The 23778-nt window shown below is 37.6% G+C and overlaps 1 protein-coding gene across 4 annotated transcripts in view; it reads left to right on the forward strand.

Annotated features, from left to right (window-relative positions):
• MROH9 (maestro heat like repeat family member 9) overlaps window positions 1-23778 on the forward strand; it is a 129232-nt gene that overhangs the window by 102297 nt on the left and 3157 nt on the right. The gene's annotated exons all lie outside the window — the stretch shown is intronic.

A 23778-nucleotide genomic window follows, 5' to 3' on the forward strand; every position in this document is an offset into this window, starting at 1 on the left:
GAAAATATGGAATGTTTGTTAAATGACATTGGGACACCTGCTGAGCCATCTGGAATTTTTAGAATAATTTTACTCCCATTTCATTTCTTACACGAAACAAAATCCAGATGGTCACAAGTTCAAATGTTAAAAAAGGAAACTATAATAATAAATAAAATCAAATTAAATAATTTGGAAAAATTGGCTGAGTTGGGGAAGATCTTGCTAAGTAAGAGTCAAAAGAAGCCATAAAGAAAAGATTGATAACTATGTAAAAATGAAACGGTATTGCAAAGCAAAACTACTATAAACAAAGTAAAAAGCCAAATTTGGATGAAATATTTACATTTATCATGAATTCTCACTGTCTAAAGAATCTTTACTAACCCATGAGAAAAAGTAACAATAGAAAAATGGACGAAGTACACACCAAAAAAAAATCATTTGGCTCTTAAGCATTAAAATTTTCACAAATTTTTCCAAAAGTGATGCAAACAATGTTTCTATCCATTGAGTTGACAAAGATGCAAAGTTTTGTACTACCCAGTTTTGGCCAGGTTGCAGGAAGTGAGCAATCACTTACATTACTGGTGAGACCATAAATCATTACTTTCTCTAAGAAGAACAATTTGGCAAAATCTATCAAAATGTGAAATGCATATTCTTTTGACTCAGTAATCTCCTCTCAAGAGAATATATCCTCAGATACAGTCACACATGGGAGAAATGATGTGTGTACATAGATATTTATTGCATCATTGTACACTGCCATCTCACCTTAGCATGTGGCTTTTATCCTTGTGTTTTCTGATTACCTTCAGCATTTTAAAAGTGTTACAGCAAGAAACAAACAAAAAAAGTAAAAGACAAAAGATGTGCTTTCCAACTGGGTCAGCCCAATTTTACAAGGCTTTCAAAGTCCCCAACCTGTGACTTATCTTACAGTCATAATGACCAGAACTGTCATAGTGACACCATTAGTTCAAGAGATGCTTGGAAATATAGTTATTTAAATGGTCAAGAAGGGGATCATGGTGTTAACAGCTAGTAGTATGTCACAATTGTCAATATTTAAAAAGTGAGAGATCTCATAGAAGTTTCTGGGATTCCAGTTATTCATGAAGAAAAAAAAAAGGAAGATGAAGCTATACTGAACCTGCATTTCTGCATGGTAGCAACCCGGATGTAGCTGACCATCAGCTTCACTTGTGGATGAAGCCTGTACTTCCTGTTCACCACACTCCCCACCACCACCAAATGCATTCTTCCACACAGTTGAGATCACATGCTTACCTACCTAGGCCTTGGCATTTTGGTTAATTTGACATAATTTCCAAAGCATCAAATTCTGTTTGAAAGTTCATTTGTGACTTTCAAAAAAACAGTTTCCGTAGAGCCATTTAATTTGTAGGTCTTTTTGCATAATGTTTCCACCTATTTTGTTCATTTGGTGGTAACATTGTATTTATGAAATAAGTATCTGCAGTTGTAAGAACAATCCAAATATAACTGTGGTTTAAACAACATAATAATTTATTTCTCTCTCATGCAATAGTCCAAGCATACGTAAACTAGGGCCAGCTCTTTTGCTGCTCTAGCATTCTCATCACATAGTTTCCCATATCAGCTCCAAAATGTTTGCTCCAGCTCCTGCAACCACTTCTACATTCCAGTTGGTTGGAAAGAAACAAAAATATCAAGAGGTCACACACACTTCTTTGAAGAGCAAATATAACTTCTGCTAAATTATCATTAGCCCATATCATAGACATATCCTCCCGCTTAGCTGTGAAGAAGGCTTAAAAATCTAGTTGTTAGCTGGGTGGCCAGCTAACTCTCAGTAATTTAGTAAAACCACTAAAGAAAAAAAAGAAATTTGACATTAGGGGGAATTAATACTTGTTAGCATGAGAAATTTTCATTCATTTATCTACCTAATCTTAAAAGGAAATACATTGGAATACAAAATCAAACAGAAAGAAAAGCACACTAATAAAGGACGTCCCACAAAACAAGTTTTTTTAAAAGCATTATTCTTAAATTGCTAAGCCCATGCTCCACCTGCCAATAAGAGTATCTTGAGCTTTACTGCCAGTTGATTGTATTATGAAAATGATCATGTGATTTTTGTGGTCACTATTTTTACTAAAGCAAAGAAAAAATATAAAATATTGGTTTGATAAGCAAAGAAAATCCTCCTTTGAGACAACATAGATGGTCCCTCCTGAAAAAAGGGGAAAACAAGAGACAACATAGATGAACCTAGAGGACGTTAAAATAAGTGAAATAAACCAAAGACAGAAACATACTGCATAATCTCACTTATATGTGAAATCTTTTTTAAAAAGTCAAATAGATAGAAATGTAAAGTATAATGGTGGTTACCAGGAGCAAGGGCACAAGAAATGGGAAGATGTAAATCAAAGGGTATATACATCAAAGGGTGCAAAGTTGCAGTTATGTAAGATAAATCTAGAGAGCTAATGTATAGCATGAAAACTGTACTTAATAATATTGTATTACATACTTACATACCATACATTTGCTAAGAGAGTACATCTTAGGTGTTTTTAGCTAAAAGAACACTTAAAATACAACACATTTGTGTGTGTTACACACAAAAAGGGTAACTATGTGAGATGATAGATACGTTAACTTGCTTGAGTGTTGTATTCATTTCGCTAGGTATATGTATATCAAAATGTTATGTTATATACCTTAAATATACACAACAGAAAAACAAATTTTATTTTCTGATTACTCAAGTAAAAAATAGATAATCTTGCATTTAAACCTCAGAATGGACACCCTCTAGCCATGTGACCTTTACCAAGTTACTTAATCTCTATGAACTTTAGTGTTACTATCTGTAAAATGAGGATAATAAGAATAGCTTCACAAAATGGGTGTGAGTAGTAATTGAAACAAAGCACTCAGGAGAGTGTCTAGCATATGGCAGTTGTTCAATCCTTTGTAGCATTATTTTCCATCTGGTTGTTAAAATCATTTTATTGTTTAGCTTTTTTAATTATCACATAGAATGGCATGTATCAATTGAATATTTTGGCTGACTGAAGAATAACTATTTGAAGATTCTGAAAATTACATGTTTATCCACTGAAATGAAGGGCTCTGTTATAATATATATCTCTGTCAGTTATAAAGCTGATATAAATTTTTTATTTAATAGATTTAGGGATACAAGTACAGTTGTGTTACATGGATATATTGCATAATGGTGGAAGGCTGGGCATTCAGTGTACCTATTACCCAAACAATGTACATTGTACTCAATAGGTATTATTTTATCCCTCATTCTCTTTCCACCCTCCCACGTTTTGGAGTCACCAGCATCTATTATTCCACTCTGTATGTCCATGTGTACCCATTGTTTAGCTCCCATTTATAAGTGAGAAAATGTGGTTTTTGATTTTATATTTCTGAGTAATTTCACTGAGGCTAATGGCCTCCAGTTGCATCCATGTTGCTGCAATATACATTATTCAATTCTTTTTTATGGCTGAGTAGTATTCCATGATGTGTGTGTGTGTGTGTGTGTGTGTGTGTGTGTGTGTGTGTATGTATTGGTCAAGATACATACACACACACACACACACACACACACACATATATATGTCACATTTTCTTTATCCAGTCATCCCTGATGGTAACTTATGTTGATTGCATGACTTTGCTATTGTAAATAGTGCTGTGACAAACATAAGAATGCAAGTGTCTTTTTGATACAATTATTTGTTTTTCTTCGATTAGATACCTAGTAGTAAGATTGGTGGATTGAATGGTAGTTCTATTTTTAATTATTTGAGAAATCAACATAATGTTTTCCATAGAAGATGTACTAAATTACATTCCCACCAACAATGTATATGCATTCATTTTTCTCTGTAACTTCATCAACATTTGTTCTTTTGGACTTTTTAGTAATAGCCATTCTGACTAGTGCAAGATGGTATCTCATTGTAGTTTTAATTTGTATTTCACTGATGATTAGTGACATTCAACATTTTTTCATTTTTTAATATTTTTATTTTTGTGGGTACATAGTAGGTGTATATATTTATGGGTACATGGGATATTTTGATATAAGCATGCAATGTGAAATAAGCATGTCATGGAAAATGGGGTATTCATCCCATCAAACATTTATCCTTTGAATTACAAACAATCCAATCACACTATTTTAAAATGTGCAATTGTTATTATTGGCTACAGTCATTCTATTGTGCTATCAAATAGTAAGTCTTACTCATTCTTTGTAACTATTATTCTGTACACATTAACCATCCCCACAACCCCCTCAAATCCCCATTACCCTTTCTAGCTTCTGGTAACCATCCTTCTACTCTCTATGTCTGTGAGTTCCATTATTTTGATTTTTAGATTCCACAAATAAGTGAGAACATGCAAAGATTGTCTTTCTGTTCCTAGCTTATTTCACTTAAAATAATGATCCTCAGACTCACTCATGTTGTTGCAAATGACTGGATCTCACTCTATTTATGGCTGAATGGTATTCCATTGTGTATGTGTATGTACCACATTTTCTTTATGCATTAATCTGTTGATGAACATTTAGGTTGCTTCCAAGTTTTAGCTATTGTAAACAGTGCTGCAACAAAGAAATGCAGATATATCTTTGATAGACTGATTTCCTTTCTTTTGGGTATATACCCAGCAGTGGAATTGCTGGATTATATGGTAGTTCAATTTTTAGTTTTTTGAGGAACCTCCAAACTCTTCTCCATAGCAGCTGTACTAATTTATGTTCTCACCAACAGTGTAGAGGGTCCCCATTTAACCACATCCTCACCAGCATTTGTTATTGCCTGTCTTTTTGATATAAGCCATCTTATCCGGGGTGACAGGATGTCATTGTAGTTTTGATTTGCATTTCTCTGATGATCAGTGATGTTGAACATCTTTTCATATACCTGTTTGCCATTTGTATGTCTTCTTTTTAGAAATGTCTATTCAAATCTTTTGCTCATCTTTTGATCTGATTATTAGATGTTTTTCCTATAGAGTTGTTTGAACTCCTTATATATTCTGGTTATTAACCTCTTGTCAGATAAGTAGTTTGCAAACATTTTCTCCCATTGTGTGGGTTGTCTCTTCACTTTGTTGATTGCTTCCTTTGCTGTCCAGATCTTTTTAACTTGAGGTGATTTCATTTGTCCATTTTTGCTTTGGTTGTTTGTGCTTGTGAGGTATTGGTCAAGAAATCTTTGCCCAGACCAATGTCCTGGAGGTTTTCCCCAATGTTTTCTTGTAATAGGTGTATATTTTGAGGTCCTAGATTTAAGCCTTTAATCCATTTTGGCTTGATTCTTGTATATGACAAGAGATGGGGGTCTAGATTCATTCTCCTGCACATGGATATCCAGTTTTTCCAGCACCATTTATTGAAGAGACTGCTTTTATGTTCTTGTCATCTTTGTCAAAAATGAGTTTACTGTGGGTGTGTGGATTTCTTTCTGGGTTCTCTATTCTGTTCCATTGGTCTGTGTGTCTGTTTTTATGCCGGTACCATGTTGTTTTGGTTATTATAGCTCTGTAGTATAATTTGAAATCAGGTAATGTGATTCCTCCAGTTTTGTTTTTTTGGTTTAGGATAGCTTTGGCTATTCTGGGTCTTTTGTGGTTTCATATACATTTTAGAATAGTATTTTCTATTTATATAAAGAATGTCATTGGTATTTATTTTGATAGGGATTGTATTTAATCTGTAGATTGCTTTGTGTAGTATGGACATTTTAACAAAATTGATTCTTCCAATCCATGAACTTGGAATTTTTTTTCATTTCTTGGTGTCTTCTTCAATTTCTTTCATCAGTGTTTTATAATATTCATTATAAAAATCTTTCACTTATTTGGTTAAATTAATTACTAGGTCTTTAATTTTATGTGTGGCTATTAGAAATGGGATTCAAATTTTTTTCACATTGTTCACTTGGCATATAGAAATGCTACTGATTTTCGTATGTTGATTTTTGTATTTTACAACTTTACTGGATTATCAGTTCTAATAGTTTTCTTGTGAAGTCTTGAGGTTTTTCCAAATATAAGATCATATTATCTGCAAACAAGGATAATTTGACTTCTTCTGTTCCAATTTAGATATCCTTTATATCTTTCTCTTATCTGATTGCTCTAGCTAGGACTTCTAGTACTACATTGAATAACAGCGATGACAGTGGACATTCTTGTCATGTTCCAGATTTTAGAGAAAAGGCTTTCAGTTTTTCCCCATTCAGTATGATACGAACTGTGGGTCTGTCATATATGGTTTTTATTATGTTGATGTATATTCCATCTATGCAGTTTTTTAAGGGTTTTTATCATGAAGGGATATTAAATTATCAAATGCTTCTTCAGCATCAATTGAAATGATCATATGGTTTTATCTTTCATTCTGTTGATACAATGTATTACAGTGATTGATTTACCAATGTTGAGCCATCTTTGCATCCCAGGGATAAATCCTACTAAATCATGATGGATGATCTTTCTAATGCATTGTTGATTCCATTTGCTAGTATTTTGTTGAGGATTTTTGCATTAATATTCATCAGAGATACTGGCCCATAGTTTTCTTCTTCTGATGTGTATTTGTCTGGTTTTGATATCAGGGTAACACTAGCCTCACAGAATGATATTGGAAGTATACCCTCCTCCTCTAATTTTCAGAACATTTTGATTAAGATTTGTATTCATTCTTCTTTAAATGTTTGGTAGAATTCAACAGTAAAGCCATCAGGTTCTGGGCTTTTCTTCACTGGGAGACTTTGTATTATAGCTTTGATCTCATTACTTGTTATTGGTCTTTTCAGATTTTGTATTTCTTCCTGGTTCAATCTTGGTAGGTTGCATGTATCTAGGAATTTGTCCATTTCTTCTATATTTTCCAATTTATTGGCCTATAGTTGCTCATACTAGCCACTAATGATCCTTTGAAATTCTTCAGTAGCAGTTTTAATGTCTCCTTTTTCATTTTTTATTTTATTTGGATCCTCTCCCTTTTTTTCTTAGTCTGGCTAAAGGTATGTCACTTTTGTTTAACTTTTAAAAAAAGCCAACTTTTTGTTTCACTTATCATTTGTATTGTTGTTTTCAGTTCAATTCCATTTATTTCTGCTCTGATCTTTTTTTTTTTTTTTTTTTTTTTTTTTTTTTTTTTTTTTTTTTTTTTGAGATGGAGTCTCGCTCTTTCACACAGGCTGGACTGCAGTGGTGCTATCTGGGCTCACTGCAAGCTCCACCTCCTGGATTCACGCCATTCTCCCGCCTCAGCCTCCGAGTAGCTGGGACTACAGGCGCCCGCCACCACGCCCGGTTAATTTTTTCTATTTTTAGTAGAGACGGGGTTTCATTGTGTTAGCCAGGATGGTCTCGATCTCCTGACCTCGTGATCCGCCCGCCTCGGCCTCCCAAAGTGCTGGGATTACAGGCATGCGCCACCGTGCTCGGCCTGCCCTGATCTTTATTATTTCTTTTCTTTTACTAATTTTGGGTTTGGTTTGCTCTTGCTTCTCTAGTTCTTTAAGATACATCATTAGAATGCTCATTTGGTTTTTCCTCTTTTTTGATATAGGCACTTCACAGCTACAGACTTCTCTCTTAGTACCGCTTTTGCTGTATCCCATAGGTTTTGGTATGTTGTGTTTCCATTATTTTGTTTCAAGAAATTTTTTAATTTCTTCCTAATTTATTGATTGACCCACTGGTCATTTGGAAGTATATTGTTAAATTTCCACTTATTTGTATAGTTTCCAAAATTCCTCTTGTTATTAATTTTTAGTTTTATTCCATTGTGGTCAAAGAAGATACTTGATATTGTTTCCCTTTATTTTGAATGTTTTAAGACTGTTCAGTGACCTAACATACAGTCTATCTGTAAAAAATAATCCATGGGCTGAGGAAAAGAATGTGTATTCTGCAGCTCTTGAATGAAATGTTCCTTAAATATATATTAGATCCATTTCATGTATAGTGCAGATTAAGTCTGATGTTTCTTTGTTGATTTTCTGTCTAGAAGATCTTTGCAATGCTAAAAGTGGGGTGTTGAAGTCTCCAGTTATTATTATATTGAAGCCCATCTCTCTCTTTCACTCTAATAGTATTTCCTCTATATATCTGAGTGCTCCTATGTTGGGTGCATATATATTTTAAATTGTTATATCTTCTTGCTGAATTGACCCTTTTATCATTATATAGTGACCTTCTTTGTCCTTCCTTATAGTTTTTGTCTTGAAATCTATCTTTTCTGATATAAGTATAGTGACTCTTCTGATTTTTTCGTTTCCATGGGCATGAAATATCTTTTTCCACCAGTTTATTTTCACTCTATGTGTGTCTTTATAGGTGAAATGTGTTTTCTGTAGACTGAACAGATCAATTAACCTTACTTTTTCATCCATTCAGCAAGTCTATGTCTTTTGATTGGGGAATTTAATCCATTTACATTCAATGTTATTATTTATTAGAACTTACTCCTGTCATTTTATTATTTGTATTCTAGTTGTTTTATGGTTTCTTTCTTCTTTCTTTCCTTCCTGTCTTCCTCTAGTCAAGGTGATTTTCTCTGGCAGTATAATTTAGTTTGTTTTTATATTTTGTGTATCTATTGTACATTTTTTGGTTTGTGGCTACCACGGGACTTGCAAATACAGTCTTATAAACCATTATGTTAACCTGTTAACAACACTATTTGCATAAACAAACAAGATGCCTTAATTTCATCCCTCTGCTTTTTAACTTTTTGTTGCTTCTATTTATATCTTATTGTACTATGTCTTGAAAAGTTGTAGTTATTATTATTGATTGGTTCATCATTTAGTCTTTCTGCTTAGGATAAGAATAGTTTATATACCACAGTCACAGTGTTATAATATTCTGTGTTTTTTCTGTGTACTTACTATTACCAGTGAGTTTTGTGCCTTCAGGTGACTATTTTATTGCTCATTAATATCCTTTTCTTTCTGATTGAGTTACTCCCTTTAGCATTTCTTGTAAGACAGGTCTGGTATTGATGAAATCCCTCAGCTTTTGTTTATCTGGAAAAGCCTTTATTTCTCCTTCATGTTTGAAGGATATTTTCATCAGATATACTATTCTAGTGTAACATAGTTTTCCTTCAGCACTTTGAATATGTCATGTCACTCTCTCATGGCCTGTAAGGGTTCCACTAAAAGTCTGCTGCCAGATGTATTGGAGTTCCATTGTATATTATGTGTTTCTTTTCTCTAGCTGCTTTTAGGATCCTTTCTTTCTTTATCCTTGACCTTTGGGAGTTTGATTGTTAAATGCCTTAGGTAGTCTTCTTTGGGTTAAATCTACTTGGTATTCCACAACCTTTTTGTACTTGGATATAGATATCTTTCCGTAGATTTGGGAAGATTTCTGTTATTAGCCCTCTGAATAAACTTTCAACCCCTGTCTCTTTCTCTGCATCCTCTTTAAGGCCAGTGACTCTTAGATTTGCCCTCTTGAGGCTATTCTAGATCTTGTAGGCATGCTTCATTTTTTTTTATTCTTTTTGTCAGCTCTATTTTCAAATAGGCTGCCTTCAATCTCACTAATTCTTTTGCTTGATGAATTCTGCTATTAAAGTACTCTGATGCATTCTACAGTATGCTTATTGCATTTTTCAGCTCCAGAATTTCTGCTTGATTCTTTTTCATCATTTTAATCTCTTTGTTAAATTTATCTGACAGAATTCTGAATCCCTTCTTGGTGTTATATTGAATTTCTTTGAGTTTACTCAACACAGCTATTTCAAATTCTCTGTGTGAAAGGTCACATGTCTCTATTTCTCCATGATTGGTCCATGGTGCCTTATTTAGGTCATTCAGTGAGGTCATGTTTTCCTGAATGGTGTTGATGATAGCAGATGTTCTTCACTGTCTGGGCATTGAAGACTTAGGTATTTATTGTAGTCTTCACTGTCTGGGCTTATTTATAGCTGTCCTTCTTGGGAAGGCTTTGCAGAGATTTGAAAGGACTTAGGTGTTGTAACCTAAGTTGTATCTACTTTGTATCCCCAAGCCAAGTAACACTGTGGTTCTTGCAGACTCATAGAGATACTGCCTTGATCGTCTTGGACAAGATCTGTGAAAATTCTCTGGATTACCAAGAAGGGACTCTTGTTTCTTCCCTTACTTTTTGCCAAACAAACATATTCTCTCTGTCTCTCTGTTGTGAACCACCTAAAGCAGGGGATAGAGTTACATGAGCATCCCTGTGGCCACCACCACTCTGACTGCACTGGGTCGACCTGAAGCCAGTACAGCACTGAGTCTCACCCAAGGCCTACTGTGACCACTCTCTGGCCTATGTTCTCTCACGGCCTGTGGAGCTCTACAATTGGCATGTGGCAAAGCCAGCCAGGCCTGTGTTCCTCCCTTCAGAACAGTGAGGTCCCCCAGGACATGAGTGGAGGGGTTGTCCAGGAGCCAGGGACTAGGGTCAAAAACCTTGGAAGTCTACTTGGTGTTCCATTGTATTGCAGCTTAGCTGACCCTCAAACTGTGAGATGCAATCCTTCCCACTCTCCTCTCCCCTCTCCAAAGGCAGAGGAGCCTCACCTTGTAGCCACGACCATCCCACGTCATGAGGAGTACTGCCAGACTACCACTGATGTTCCCTTAAGGCCCAAGAACTCTGAAGTCATCTTGTGGTGAATGCTGCCTGGCCCACGATTCACCCTTCAGGACAGTGGCTTCCCCTTGGCCCAAGGCAGGTCTAAAAATATCCATCCAAAAGTCAAGTCCTGGAATCCAGGATCCCAAGAGCCCACTTGATGCTCTGCCCCCTGTAACTGTGCTGGGATCTAAGGTGCAAGAGAAAGTCCCCTTTACTTTTTCCTCTGCTTTCCTCAAGCAGAAGGAGTTTTGTCCCATAGCCACCACAGCTGGTAATGTACTGAGTCTCAACTGAAGCCAGCAAGTCTCAGAGGTTCACCCAAGGCCCACAATGTAGTACCTGGGTATTGCTGCTGGTTATTCAAGGACCAAGGGCTCTTCAGTTATCAGGTAATGAATGCTGCCAGGACAGACCTTTTCCTTCAAGGCAGTGGGTTCCCTTTTGGCCCAGGGTATGTTTAGAAATGTCGTCTGGGAACTAGGACCTGGAACAGGGCCTCATGATTCTGACTGGTGACCTATCCTACTGTGGCTGAGCTGGTATCCAACATGCAAGACAAAGCCCTCCCCACTTTTCCCTCTCCTCTCCTCAAGGGAAAGGAAAGTGTCTTTTTTGGAGCCATGAGCTGTGTAGTCTGGGGTTAGGGGAGGACTGATGCCAGCACTGCCTTGGATGATCATTACCCAACCTGCTGCCAAGTAAAAAACCACCTACACAGAAGAAACACCTTCATAAGAACCCAAAGTCAGGTGAGCATGCATAGTACCTGGTTTTAACTTCATATCTCTGAAAGAGGTACTGCAGACATAGAAAAAACAGTCCTGAATCACTGACTCCACTACCCCCACCCCCAGCCCCAGTGGCAGCAGTATGGTGCTAAGAGGGTCTCTGGGTGCCGAGTGAGGGAGAACACAGCAGTTGTGAGGGAGAACACAGCAGTTGTGAAGCACTAAACTCAGTGCTGTCCTGTTAGAGCGGGGAGTAAAACCAGATAAAACTCAGCCAATGCCAACCCACAGAGGGAACATTTAAACCAACCCTAGTCAGAGAGGAGTCATTGATCTGGGTAATGATCAGTGGAGCTTTCTATTCCATCACCTTGCTCCACCCCCCATTTCTTCATTTTCCTTGGCCGCTTACATGTCTTCTTTTGAAAAAATGTCTGTTCATCTGTTCATGTTCTTTACCCACTTTTTAATGAGTTTTTTCTTTTTTCTTTTTTTTTTTTATTTGAGACATGGTCTCCTCTGTAGCCCAGGCTGGAGGGCAGTGTGAACACAGCTCACACAGCCTCGACCTCCCAGGTTCAAGTGGTCTTCTCACCTCAGCCCCCTAAGTAGCTAGGACTATAGGCCTGTACCACCATGCTAGACTGATTTTTGTATTGTTTTGTAAAAATGTGGCTTTGCCATGTTGCCTAGGCTGGTCTCAAACTCTTGGGCTCAAGCAATCTGCCTGCCTTGGCCTCCCAATGTGCTAGGATTACAGGCATGAACCACCATGCCTGGACTATTTTCTTTCTTATTGAGTTGTTTGAATTTTTTTGTAGATTCTGAATATTAATTCTTTGTCAAATGCATACTATGCAAATACTTTCTCTCATCCTATGGATTGTCTGTTTACTCAGCTGATTATTTCTTTCACTGTGCAGAAACTTTAGTTTAATTAAGTTCCATTTGTCTGCTTTTGTTTTTGTTGTGTTTTCTTTTGAAGACTTACTAAATTTCTTTACCCAAGCCAATGTCCAGAAGAGTTTTCCCTAATTTTTCTTTTATAATTTTATGGTTTTGGGTCTTATTTAAATCTTTAACATCTCTTGAGTTAATTTTTGTATATGGTAAGAAACAGGGATTTTTAAAATTTGTGTCATCTAAAATTTCTTTCATCAGTGTTTTATAGTTCTTCTTATAGAGATCTTTCACCTCCTTGGTTAAATGTATTTCTAAGTATTTTATTTTTTTGTAGCTATTGTAGATGGGATTTAGTTCTTGATTTGGTTCTTGGCTTTATCCTTGTTGGTGTATGAAAATGCTACTGATTTCAGTATGTTGATTTGGTATCCTGAAACTTTACTGAAGTCATTAGGAGTCTTCTGGAGGAGTCTTTAGGGTTTTCTGCATGTAACATCATATCATCAGTGAAGAGGGATGATTTGACATAATCTTTTCCAGTTTGATGCCCTTTATTTATTTCTCTTGTCTGATTGCTCTAGTTAGGTCTTCCAGTACTGCATTGAATAGAAGTGGTGAGAGTGGACATCCTTGTCTTGTTCCAGTTCTTAGGTGGAGTGGTTTCATCTTTTCCCCATTCAGTAAAATATTGGTTGTGGGTTTGTCACATATGGCTTTTATTATTTTGAGGTATGTTCCTTATGTGCCTAGTTAAGGGTTTTTCTCATGAAGGGAAGCTGGATTTTATCAAATGCTTTTTCTACATTTATTGCGATGATTATTGTTTTTGGTTTTGTTTATGTGGTGAATCACATTTATTGATTTTTTTTATGTTGAATCATCCTACATCCTTGGAATGAAACCCACTTGATTGTGGTATATTATCTTTTTCATGTTCTGTTGGATTTGATTTGCTAGTATTTTGTTGAAAATGTTTTCTTCAACAAAAGATGCCAGTGAGGCTATGGAGAAATAGAAATGCTTTTACACTGTTGGTGGGAATGTGAATTAGTTCAAACATTGTGTAAGACATTGTGATATTTCCTCAAAGACCTAAAACCAGAAATACCGTTTGACCCAACAATCTCATTACTGGGTATATACCCAAACGAGCATAAATCATTCTATTACAAAGATACATGCACAGGTATGATCATTGCAGCACTATACACAATAGCAAAGACATAGAATAAGCCTAAACATCCATCAATACTAGATTAGATAAAGAAAATGTGGTACATATATGCCATGGAATACTATGCATCCATAAAAAGGAATGAGATCATGTCCTTTGCACAGACATGGATGAAGCTGGAAGCCATTATCCTCAGCAAACAAATGCAGAAACAGAAAACAAAACATCACATATTCTCACTTATAAGTGGGAGCTGAACAATGAGAACACATGGAAAAAGGGAAGGGAACAACACAAACTGGGGCCTGGCAGAGAGGCAGGGAGGAGGGAGAACAAGAGGATAAATAGCTAATGCATGTGAGGCTTAACACTTAGGTGATGGGTTGATAGGTGCAGCAAACCACCATAGCACACATTTACCTAATGTAACAAACCTGCACATCCTGCACATGTATCCCAGAACTTAAAATCAAATTAAATTTAAATTTAATTTTAAAAAAATTTCTATTTTCATCAGGGATAGTGGTCTGTCATTTTCTTTCTGTTTTGTACCCTTGCCATTCTTTGATATTGCAGTGATGGCTTCATAGAATGAGTTAGGGAGGGTTCCCTCCTCCATTTGTTTTGTGCCTTTGCCATGCTTTGATAGCAGGGTAATGATGGCTTCATAGGAATTGGAGCAATTTTAATAGAATTGGTATCAGTTATTGCTTGTATGTCTAGTAGAATTCAACTGTGGATCAGTCTGGTCTTGGACCTTTTTTTTTTTATTAATTACTGATTCAATTTTACTACTTATTGATCTGTTCAGGACTTCTATTTATTCTTGGTTCAGTCTTGGGAGATTGTATGTTTCCAATAATTTACACATTTCTTCTAGATTTCATAGTTTGTGTGCATAGAGATGCTTATAGTAGTCTCTGATGATCTTTTGTATTCCTGCGGAATCAGTTGTTTGTCATTGTTATCATTTCTGATTGTGCTTATTTGAATCTCTTATTTGAGTCTCAGAGTTGGGGACCAAGCTGGGTGAAGCCAGGCCAGGCAGGCCCATCCGTGGCCCCCCAGTGGTAGTCATAAGTACCAGCTTTTATGGGAATCCAGGGGGTAAAGCACCCAGTGATGTGCCTGTGTGTGGAGTAGAGAAACCTCCACTACCCTAAGTTCTCTCCATGGGAAGGGAGAGGCAGCCTAAGCTCCTAATCTAGAATAGTGGGTACTCCAAATGCCGGGAGATATGTCCAGGTATAGAGCGAAGAGACTATCAAGTTGGCTGCACCAAGTTCTCTACTCAGAAAGGGAAGGGTGGTTTAGGTTCCTAATCCAGGCAAGCGAGTGCATAAAAATGCCTAGAAATGTGCCCCAGAAAGGAGCAGAGAAATCACTACTGCCCACGGAATGGCAGGGGCAGCTCAGGCTCCTAATCCAGGGGAGTGGGTAAGCCAAATGCCTGGAAATGTGCCCTGGGCATGGAGCAAAGAAAGTGCCACAGCACCAAGATCTCTGCACAGAAAGCAAGGGGTGGTGCAGGCTCCTAATGCAGGTGAGTAGGTGCATCAAATGCCTGAAAATACGCCTTAGTAGGGAGTGGAGGGAGCACTGCCACACAAAATTCTTTGCATAGGAAGGGAAGGATGGCCCATGCTTCTAATTCAGGTGAGCAGGAATGGGATTCTCTCTCCCACTCCTTGGAACTAGTGGGGCTCATTCTCCTGACTGACCAAGGGAACAGGTTGAGGCACCTAGCAATGACCTATACAGAGCTGTCATCCCAGGTCTCAAAGGCATCCTTGGCTGTAAAACTCGCTGCGGCTTCAACAATTCTCCTTCTGCTCTAGTTCTGCAGCAAGAAAGATCCCAATTTCAGTGCCTATCTCTGGAATGCACTCCACATTCCCTGCTTGCTGTGGGAACCCTTCACCCACTTCAAAGCAAGTGCTCTGAGGCCCAAGACAAATGCTCATGGTAGCCATCACTGCCAGATCACCAAACAATGATTGACTTTGGGTGAGCCCAGTTTGAAAATGTTGTCCTCCTCTTGGTCCCAAATACTCCCAGGCTTTCAAAAGGGATCTGTGATGGATTCATCCTAGGAGAAAGAGTAAACAGGAAATAGACCAGCCCTCACAATGAACAAAGCCTTGAACATCTAAATCTCTGGTTGGATGAAGAAGATATACCTTTAGCTTAACTGCCTGGTGGAAGCAAAAATAAATCCCCTCTGAGAAAAGATAAATTACCCAGAGACTCAAATTTTCTACACACAATTTCATACACAGTAGCTGACAGTTAATCAAAAACAACCAGATGTATAGACTTTTTTAATTACAAGAGAAAACAAATAGTAGATATAGAATGAATAATATATCATTGTTGCAGTTATTAGATATACCTTTAAAATAAATATGATTAATGTATTCAAAAGATTAAATAATGAAATGGAATGCAGAACTCAATGGATGAAATCAGCAGCATATTAGAAAAAGCTTAAAAGAAAATTGGATATGTCAGAATAAAATATTCAACCTAAAGATTAAAGTTTGAAGAAATAAAAATGAAAAATACAAAAAGAGTGTAAGATAATATCAGACATGGCTAAATGGTCTAACATATAGATTTCAAAAAGAGAGAGGAGAAAGAATGAGGCAGAAGAACTCCTGTAAGAGATGATGGCCAAGAATTTTCCAAAACTAAAATAAGGCAAAACAAAAAATAAAATGGCTAAGTTTGGATAAAAGGAAATGAAACATTCAAAATTAGCAAATAAATAATTGCATATTTTAAACATTCCAAAAATTCAGAAAAAAGTTCTCAAATTAATCTGTTTAGCAAGTTTTCTAGATACAACATCAGTATACAAAGATCAATTGGATTTCTATACATAAACAATAAATAATTAGAAGCTTAATTTTTAGACCAATGAAGCAGAATAGAGAACCCAGAAATAAAGTAAAATACAGCCAACTGATGTTCGACAAAGCAAACAAAAATATAAAGTGGGGATATGACACCCTATTCAACAAATTGTGCTGGGATAATTGGCAAGCCACATGTAGAAGAATGAAAAGTGGATTCTCATCTCTCACCTTATACAAAAATTAACTCAAGATGGATCAGAGACTTAACTCTAAGACCTGAAACCATAAAAATTCCAGAAAAATAGCATCAGAAAAACCTTTCTAGGCATTGGCTTAGGCAAAGACTTCATGACCAAGAACCCAAAAGCAAATGCAACAAAATTAAGATAAACAGATGGGACTTAACTAAAAAGCTTCTGCACAGCAAAAGAAATAATCAGCAGAGTAAAGCAACAACCACAGAGTGGGAGAAAATCTTCACAAACTATGCATCCAACATAATCTACAAGGAACTCAAATCAGCAAGAAAGAAACAATCCTATCAAAAAGTGGGCTAAGGACATGAATAGATAATTCTCAAAAGAAAATATACAAATGGCCAACAAACCTATGAAAATATGCTCCACACCACTAATTATCAGGAAAATGCAAATCAGAACCACAATATGATACCACCTTACTCCTGCAAGAATGGCCATAATTTAAAAATCAAAAAATCATAGATGTTGGTGTGGATGTGGTGAAAAGGGAACACTTTTACACTGCTGGTGGGAATCTAAACTAGTACAGCCATTATGGAAAATGGTGTGGAGAGTCCTTAAACAACTAAAAGTAGATCTACCATTTGATCCAGCAATCCCACTATTGGGTAACTACCCAGAGGAAAAGAAGTCATTATAAAAAAAAAAAAAAAGACACTTGCACACGCATGTTTATGGCAGTACAATTTGCAATTGCAAAAATATAAAACTGGCCTAAATGTCCGTCAATCAACAAATGGATAAAGAAAATGGGGTGTATATATACTGTGAAATATTACTCAGCCATTAAAAAGGAATGAAATAATGGCATTTGCAGCAACCTGGATAACTGGAGATCCTTTTTCTAAGTGAAGTAACTCAAGAATGGAAAACCAAACTTCCTGTGTTCTCACTTATAAGTGGGAGCTAGGCTATGAGGATGCAAAGGCATAAGAATGATACAATGGGCCAGGTGCAGTGGCTCATGCCTTTAATCCCAGCACTTTGGGAGGCCGTGGTGGGCAGATCACAAGGTCAGGAGTTCAAGACCAGCCTGGCCAACATGGTGAAACCCCGTCTCTACTAAAAATACTAAAAAATTAGCCAGGCATGGTGGTGCATGCCTGTAATTCCAGCTACTTGGGAGGCTGAGGCAGTAGAATCGCTAGAATCTGGGAGGTGGAGGTTGCAGGAGCCAAGATCGCTCCACTGCACTCCAGTTTGGGCAACAGTGTGAGACTTCATAAAAAAAAAAAAAAAAAAAAAAAGATACAGTGGACTTTGGGGACTCAGGGGAAAAGGTGGGAAGGGATGAGGGATAAAAGACAACATATTGAGGGGCCAAGATGTCCAACTAGAAACGGTGGCAGTCGGAGGCTTCCATTGAAAAGAACCATAATAAGTGCATTAATCTTTCACTGGCAACCAAGGTAACCAGGTTCTCTCATCAGAACTGACCAGGCAGCTGGTGTGATCCATGGAGAGAAAGGAAGAGCAAGCAGTGTGGTGTGGTGGCCCATCTGGGAGCCAGACGAGCAGAGGAGCCCCTACCCCCAGGCCAAGGGAGGTGATGAGTGAGCATCCTACCCAGCAGGGGGAACGGTGATTTTTCCACAGAACTATGAAACCCACAGATTGAAAGATCCCACTCATGAACCCACACCACCGGGGCCTAGGGCCTTAACCCCAGAGCCATGCAGATTCTTAATAGCCTCTCAGCTGGACTCTGCTTAAGCCTGCCGAGCCCCTGGGGAGAAGGGGTGACCAGCACCACAGCTGCAGCTGCCTGATGTCTAAGCCATTTGAGCTTCTTGGGAAAGGGGCAGCAGCCAGCACTGGGACTCACAACTGCCTAACATGTTAAGCTCCTTGGGCAGGGGAAGTGTGGCATCCATCTCTATAGCTCCAGGCTGTGCTTTTCCCCTGCTGGAACCAGTAGGGCTGGACACCTTGGTCCCAAAAGGTGTCCCCAACAGCCCAACATACCAGCTGTGGAAGACTGCAGCCAGAGGACCTCTTCAGGACTGACCCTGACTCATCCTTCCTCACTGGGTGGGGCTTCCTGCAGGAAATCCAACAACTCTAACCAGAGGCTCAGGGACAGAACCCAGATCTCCCTGGGCCTGAGCCTCTAGTGGGAGGAATGGCTGCAGTCTCTGTGAATCAGCAGACATAGCCTTTCCTCCTGATAGTTCCAGGAGCCCAGATGAGTGGGTTTCCCCCTAGCAAAGCACACCCCTGCACCAAGGGTCAGTCAAAGTGCTTCATTAAATGGGTCCTGTTCCCCATGCCACCCAACTGGGTGACAACAGGGGTTGTCAGAAACCCTACACAGGAGCGATCCAACTGGCATCAGGTCAGTGCCCCTGCCAGAAGATGGAGCAGGCACCCATCTTTGCTGTTCTCCAGCCTCCTTGAGTGACATCTCCAGACGCAGGAGTAAACCAGATGAATAGGGCATGAAGTGGACCCCCAGCAAATGGCAGCAGCCCTACAGAAAAGGGACCTGACCATTGAAAGAAAAACAAACAAAAAGCAACAACAACAGCACCAACAACAAAAAAGTCCTCACAAAAACTTCATCCAAGAGTCAGCAGCCTCAAACTCACAAAACTAGGCAAACTCACAAAGATGAGAAAGAATCAATGACAAAATGCTGAAAACCCAAAAATCCAGAGTGCCTCTTCTCCAAATGTTTGCAATGTCTCTCCAGCAAGGGCACAGCACTGGACGGAGGATGAGATGGATGAATTGACAGAAGTAGGCTTCAGAAGACGGGTAATAAAAAACTACACTGATTAAAGGATTATGTTCTAACCCAATGCAAAGAAGCTAAAAACCTTGATAAAAGGTTAGAGGAGCTGCTAACTAGAATAACCAGTTTAGAGAGGAACAGAAATGACCTAATGGAGCTGAAAAACACAGCACAAGAACTTCATGAGGCATACACAAATATCAATAACTGAATCAACCAAGTGGAAGAAAGAATATCAGAGTTTGAAGACCACTTTATTGAAATAAGGCATCCAGGCAAGATTAGAGAAAAAAGAATGAAAAGGAACAAACAAAGCCTCCAGGAAACTGGGGACTTTGTGAAAAGATGGAACCAGTGATAGACTGGAATACCTGAAGGAGATGGGACGAAAGGAAACAAGCTGGAAAAAGCACTTCATGATATTATCCAGGGGAACTTCCCCAACCTAGCAATACAGGCCAACATGCAAATCCAGGAAAAGAGAGAGAACACCATTAAGATACTCCACAAGAAGACAAACCCCAAGATACATAATCATCAGATTCTCCAAGGTCAAAATAAGGGAAAAAATGTTAAGGGCAGCCAGAGAGAAAGGCCAGGTCACCTACAAAGGGAAGCCAATCAGACGAAGAGTGGACCACTCAGCAGAAACTCTGCAAACCAGAACAGATTGGGGGCCAAATTCAACATTCTTAAAGAAAAGAATTTCCAACCCAGAATTTCATATCCAGCCAAAATAAGCTTCATAAGTGAAGAAGAAATAAAATCATTTCCACACAAGCAAATGCTGAGGGATTTCATTACCACCAGGCCTGCCCGAAAGAAGCACTAAATATGGGGGGAAAAAAACACCAAAATATATTCTTTCAGGCAAGAGAAACAAATAAAGCATATTCAAATAGGAAGAGAGGAAGTCAAAGTGTCTCTGTTTGCAGATGACACGGTTTTATATTTAGAAAGCAACATCACCTCAGCCCAAAAACTCCTTAAGCTGATAAGCAACTTTAGCAAAGTGTCAGGATACAAAATCAATGTGCAAATATTACAAGCATTTCTTTACACCAACAATAGACAAGCAGAGAGCCAAATTATGAATAAATCCCCATTCACAATCACTACAAAGAGAATAAAATACCTTGGAATACAGCTAACAAGGGATGTAAAGGACCTCTTCAAGGAGAATTACAAACCACGGGTCAAGGAAATAAGAGAGGATGCAAAAAAAAAAAAAAAGGAAAAACATTCCATCCTCATGGATAAGAAGAATCAATATCGTGAAAATGGCCATACTGCCCAAAGTAATTTATAGATTCAATGTTATTCCCATCATACTACTATTGACATTCTTCATAAAATTAGAAAAAAAAACTAGTTTCATTTCATATATGATCAAAAAAGATCCCATATGGCCAAGACAATCCTAAGCAGGAAGAACAAAGCTGGAGGCATCATGTTACCTGACTTTATACTACAAGGCTACAGTAACCACAACAACATGGTACTGGTACAAAAACAGACATATAGACCAATGGAACAGAAAAGAGACCTCAGAAATAACACTACACATCTACAACCATCTGACCTTCGACAAACCTGACGAAAACAAGCAATGGGGAAAGGATTTCCTATTTAATAAATGGTGCTGGGAAAACTGGCTAGCCATATGCAGAAAACTGAAACTGGACCCTTTCCTTACACCTTATACAAAAATTAACTCAACATGGCTTAAAGACTTAAATGTAAACCCCAAACCACAAAAACCCTAGAAGAAAACCTAGGCAATACCATTCAGGGCATATGCATGGGCAAAGACTTCATGACAAAAATGCCAAAAGCAATCACAACAAAAGCCAAAATTGACAAATGGGATCTAATTAAAGAGCTTCTGCACAGCAAAAGAAACTATCATTAGGGTGAACAGGCAACCTACAGAATGGGAGAAAATTTTTGCAGTCTACCCATCTGAGAAAGGTCTAATATCCAGAATCGACAAGAAACTTAAATAAATTTACAAGAAAAAAACAAGTATCAATAGCTGAATCAACCAAGTGGAAGAAAGAATATCAGAGTCTGAAGTGGGCAAAGTAACAAAAGTGGGCAAAGGATATGAACAGACACTTCTCAAAAGAAGACTTTTACATGGCCAACAAACTTATGAAAAAAAGTGCAACATCACTGATTAGAGAAATGCAAATCAAAACCACAATGAGATACCATCTCACACCAGTAAGAATGGTGATTATTAAAAACTCAAGAAACAATAGATGCTGGCGAGGCTGTGGAGAAATAGGAATGCTTTTACACTGTTGGTGGGAATGTAGATTAGTTCAACCATTGTGGAAGACAGTATGGTGATTCCTCAAAGATCTAGAACCAGAAATACCACTTGACCCAGCAATCCCATTACTGGGTATATACCCAAAGGAATACAAATCATTCTCATATAAAGACACATGCACACCTATGTCTATTGCAGCATTGTAAAGTCATGGAACCAACAAAAATGCTCATCAATGATAGACTGGATAAAGAAAATGTGGCACATATATACCATGGAATACTATCCAGCCATAAAAAGAAATGAGATCATGTCCTTTGCAGGGACATGGACGAAGATGGAAGCCATCATCCTCAGCAAACTAACATGGGAACAGAAAACCAAACACCACATGTTCTCACTCATAAGTGGGAGTTGAACAATGAGAACACATGGACACAGGGAGGGGAACAACACACACCAGGGCCTGTCTGGGAGTGGGAGGTGAGGGGAAGAAACTTAGAGGATGGGTCAATAGGTGCAAAAATTTTACTTAAAATAAATGAAAGGTTATATATGCACTCACATATTTTAAAAAATGATGGAAAGAGAAAGAAAATAAATTTCTCTCTACGATTAAAAAAAAAAGACTACCTATTGGGTACAGTGTACACTGCTCAGGTGACAGGTGCGCCAAAATCTCAGAAATCACCACTAAAGGACTTAACCATGTAACCAAATACCACCTCTTCCCCCAAAGCCTATTGAAATAAAAAATAAAAGTTTAAAAAATACCAATACAATAGCACCAAAAATCATCAAATACCTTAAAATAAAACTAAGAAATGTTGCACAAAATGAATACACATAAAACAGGGAAACATACAGAAAATTTTAAAAGAGTTCCATACAGGGATATATTATGCTCATTGATTGAAAGATTAAATATTATGATGATGTCAGTTCTCCCCAAATTGATCTGTATAGATTCAATGTATTCCCAAACAATATCTCACTGGGTATTTTGGGTGTGTGTATGAAATGTGACAAGCTGATTATAAACTTTATATTAAAACTTAAGTGTTCAAGAATAGCCAAGATAATTTAAAGAGGAACTAGAGTTGAAGGACTTATACCATGGGATATCAAGATGCATTACACATTAAGGTCATGTCGTAGTGACACAATGATAGACAGAATAGAATCAAGACATTGACCACACACAATTTACGTCTAGGTGACACTGCCGAACAGTAAGGTAAGAACGATTTTTCTCTTAACGGTGCAGTATCAACTATACAGGTATATAAAAATATCTTGACCCCAACTTCATGCTGTATAACTCCAGATGGATGGTATATATAAGCATAAAAGGTAAAATAGTAAAGCTTCCAGAAGTAAATATAGGAGAATATCTTTATGGCTTAAGACAAGCAAACATTTCCTGAACAGGACCTCAAAATTAACTGACCATAAATGTAAAGATGATGAGTTCAACTACATTGAAATTAGGGGTTTGTGTTAATTAAAAAACAAATGCAAATGGAAAAATTTAGCCATGAGATAAGAGAAGATATTGTAAGATATGCACCATTTTAAACAGATTAGTACTTAGAACTTTAAAACGTCTACAAGTAACTAAGAAAAAGATAACTCAATATATACACCGGCAAGAGACTTATCTGAATAAGCATTTCACAAAAGAAGACATCCAAATGGCCAGTAAATACACACATGATCTTATTAATTAACAACAAAAAATGAAAATTAAAATTACAATGTGATATTATCACCAAACCCATGAGGATGACTGAAAGGAAACATTTTAACAGTATCAATTGTTCGGAGGACATAGAGCAATGAAAATGTTAGCGTACTGTTTGTGGGAGTGAAAATTGGTACAGCCACTTTGGATAACTGTTTAGCAGTAACCGCTGAAGTGGAACATAAGCATACCCGGTAAATCCACTAGTTATATACCAAACAGCAGTTATACAAATACCTGCCAAAATTCATGTACAAGAATTCCCATAACTTCATCATTCATAATAGCTCCAAACTGGAAACAACACAAACGCCCATCAACAGCAGAATGGATTTAAAAAATGATGCATTCGTAAGATGTACTTGTATATAGCAGGTTCAGCAAACTCTTTCTGTTAAAGGCCCAATAGTAAATATTTTAGACTTTGAGTACCATATAGTCTCTGTTGCAACTCTGCT

The sequence above is a fragment of the Homo sapiens genome, chromosome 1 (assembly GCF_000001405.40).
Source record: "Homo sapiens chromosome 1, GRCh38.p14 Primary Assembly".
Lineage (NCBI taxonomy): Eukaryota > Metazoa > Chordata > Mammalia > Primates > Hominidae > Homo > Homo sapiens.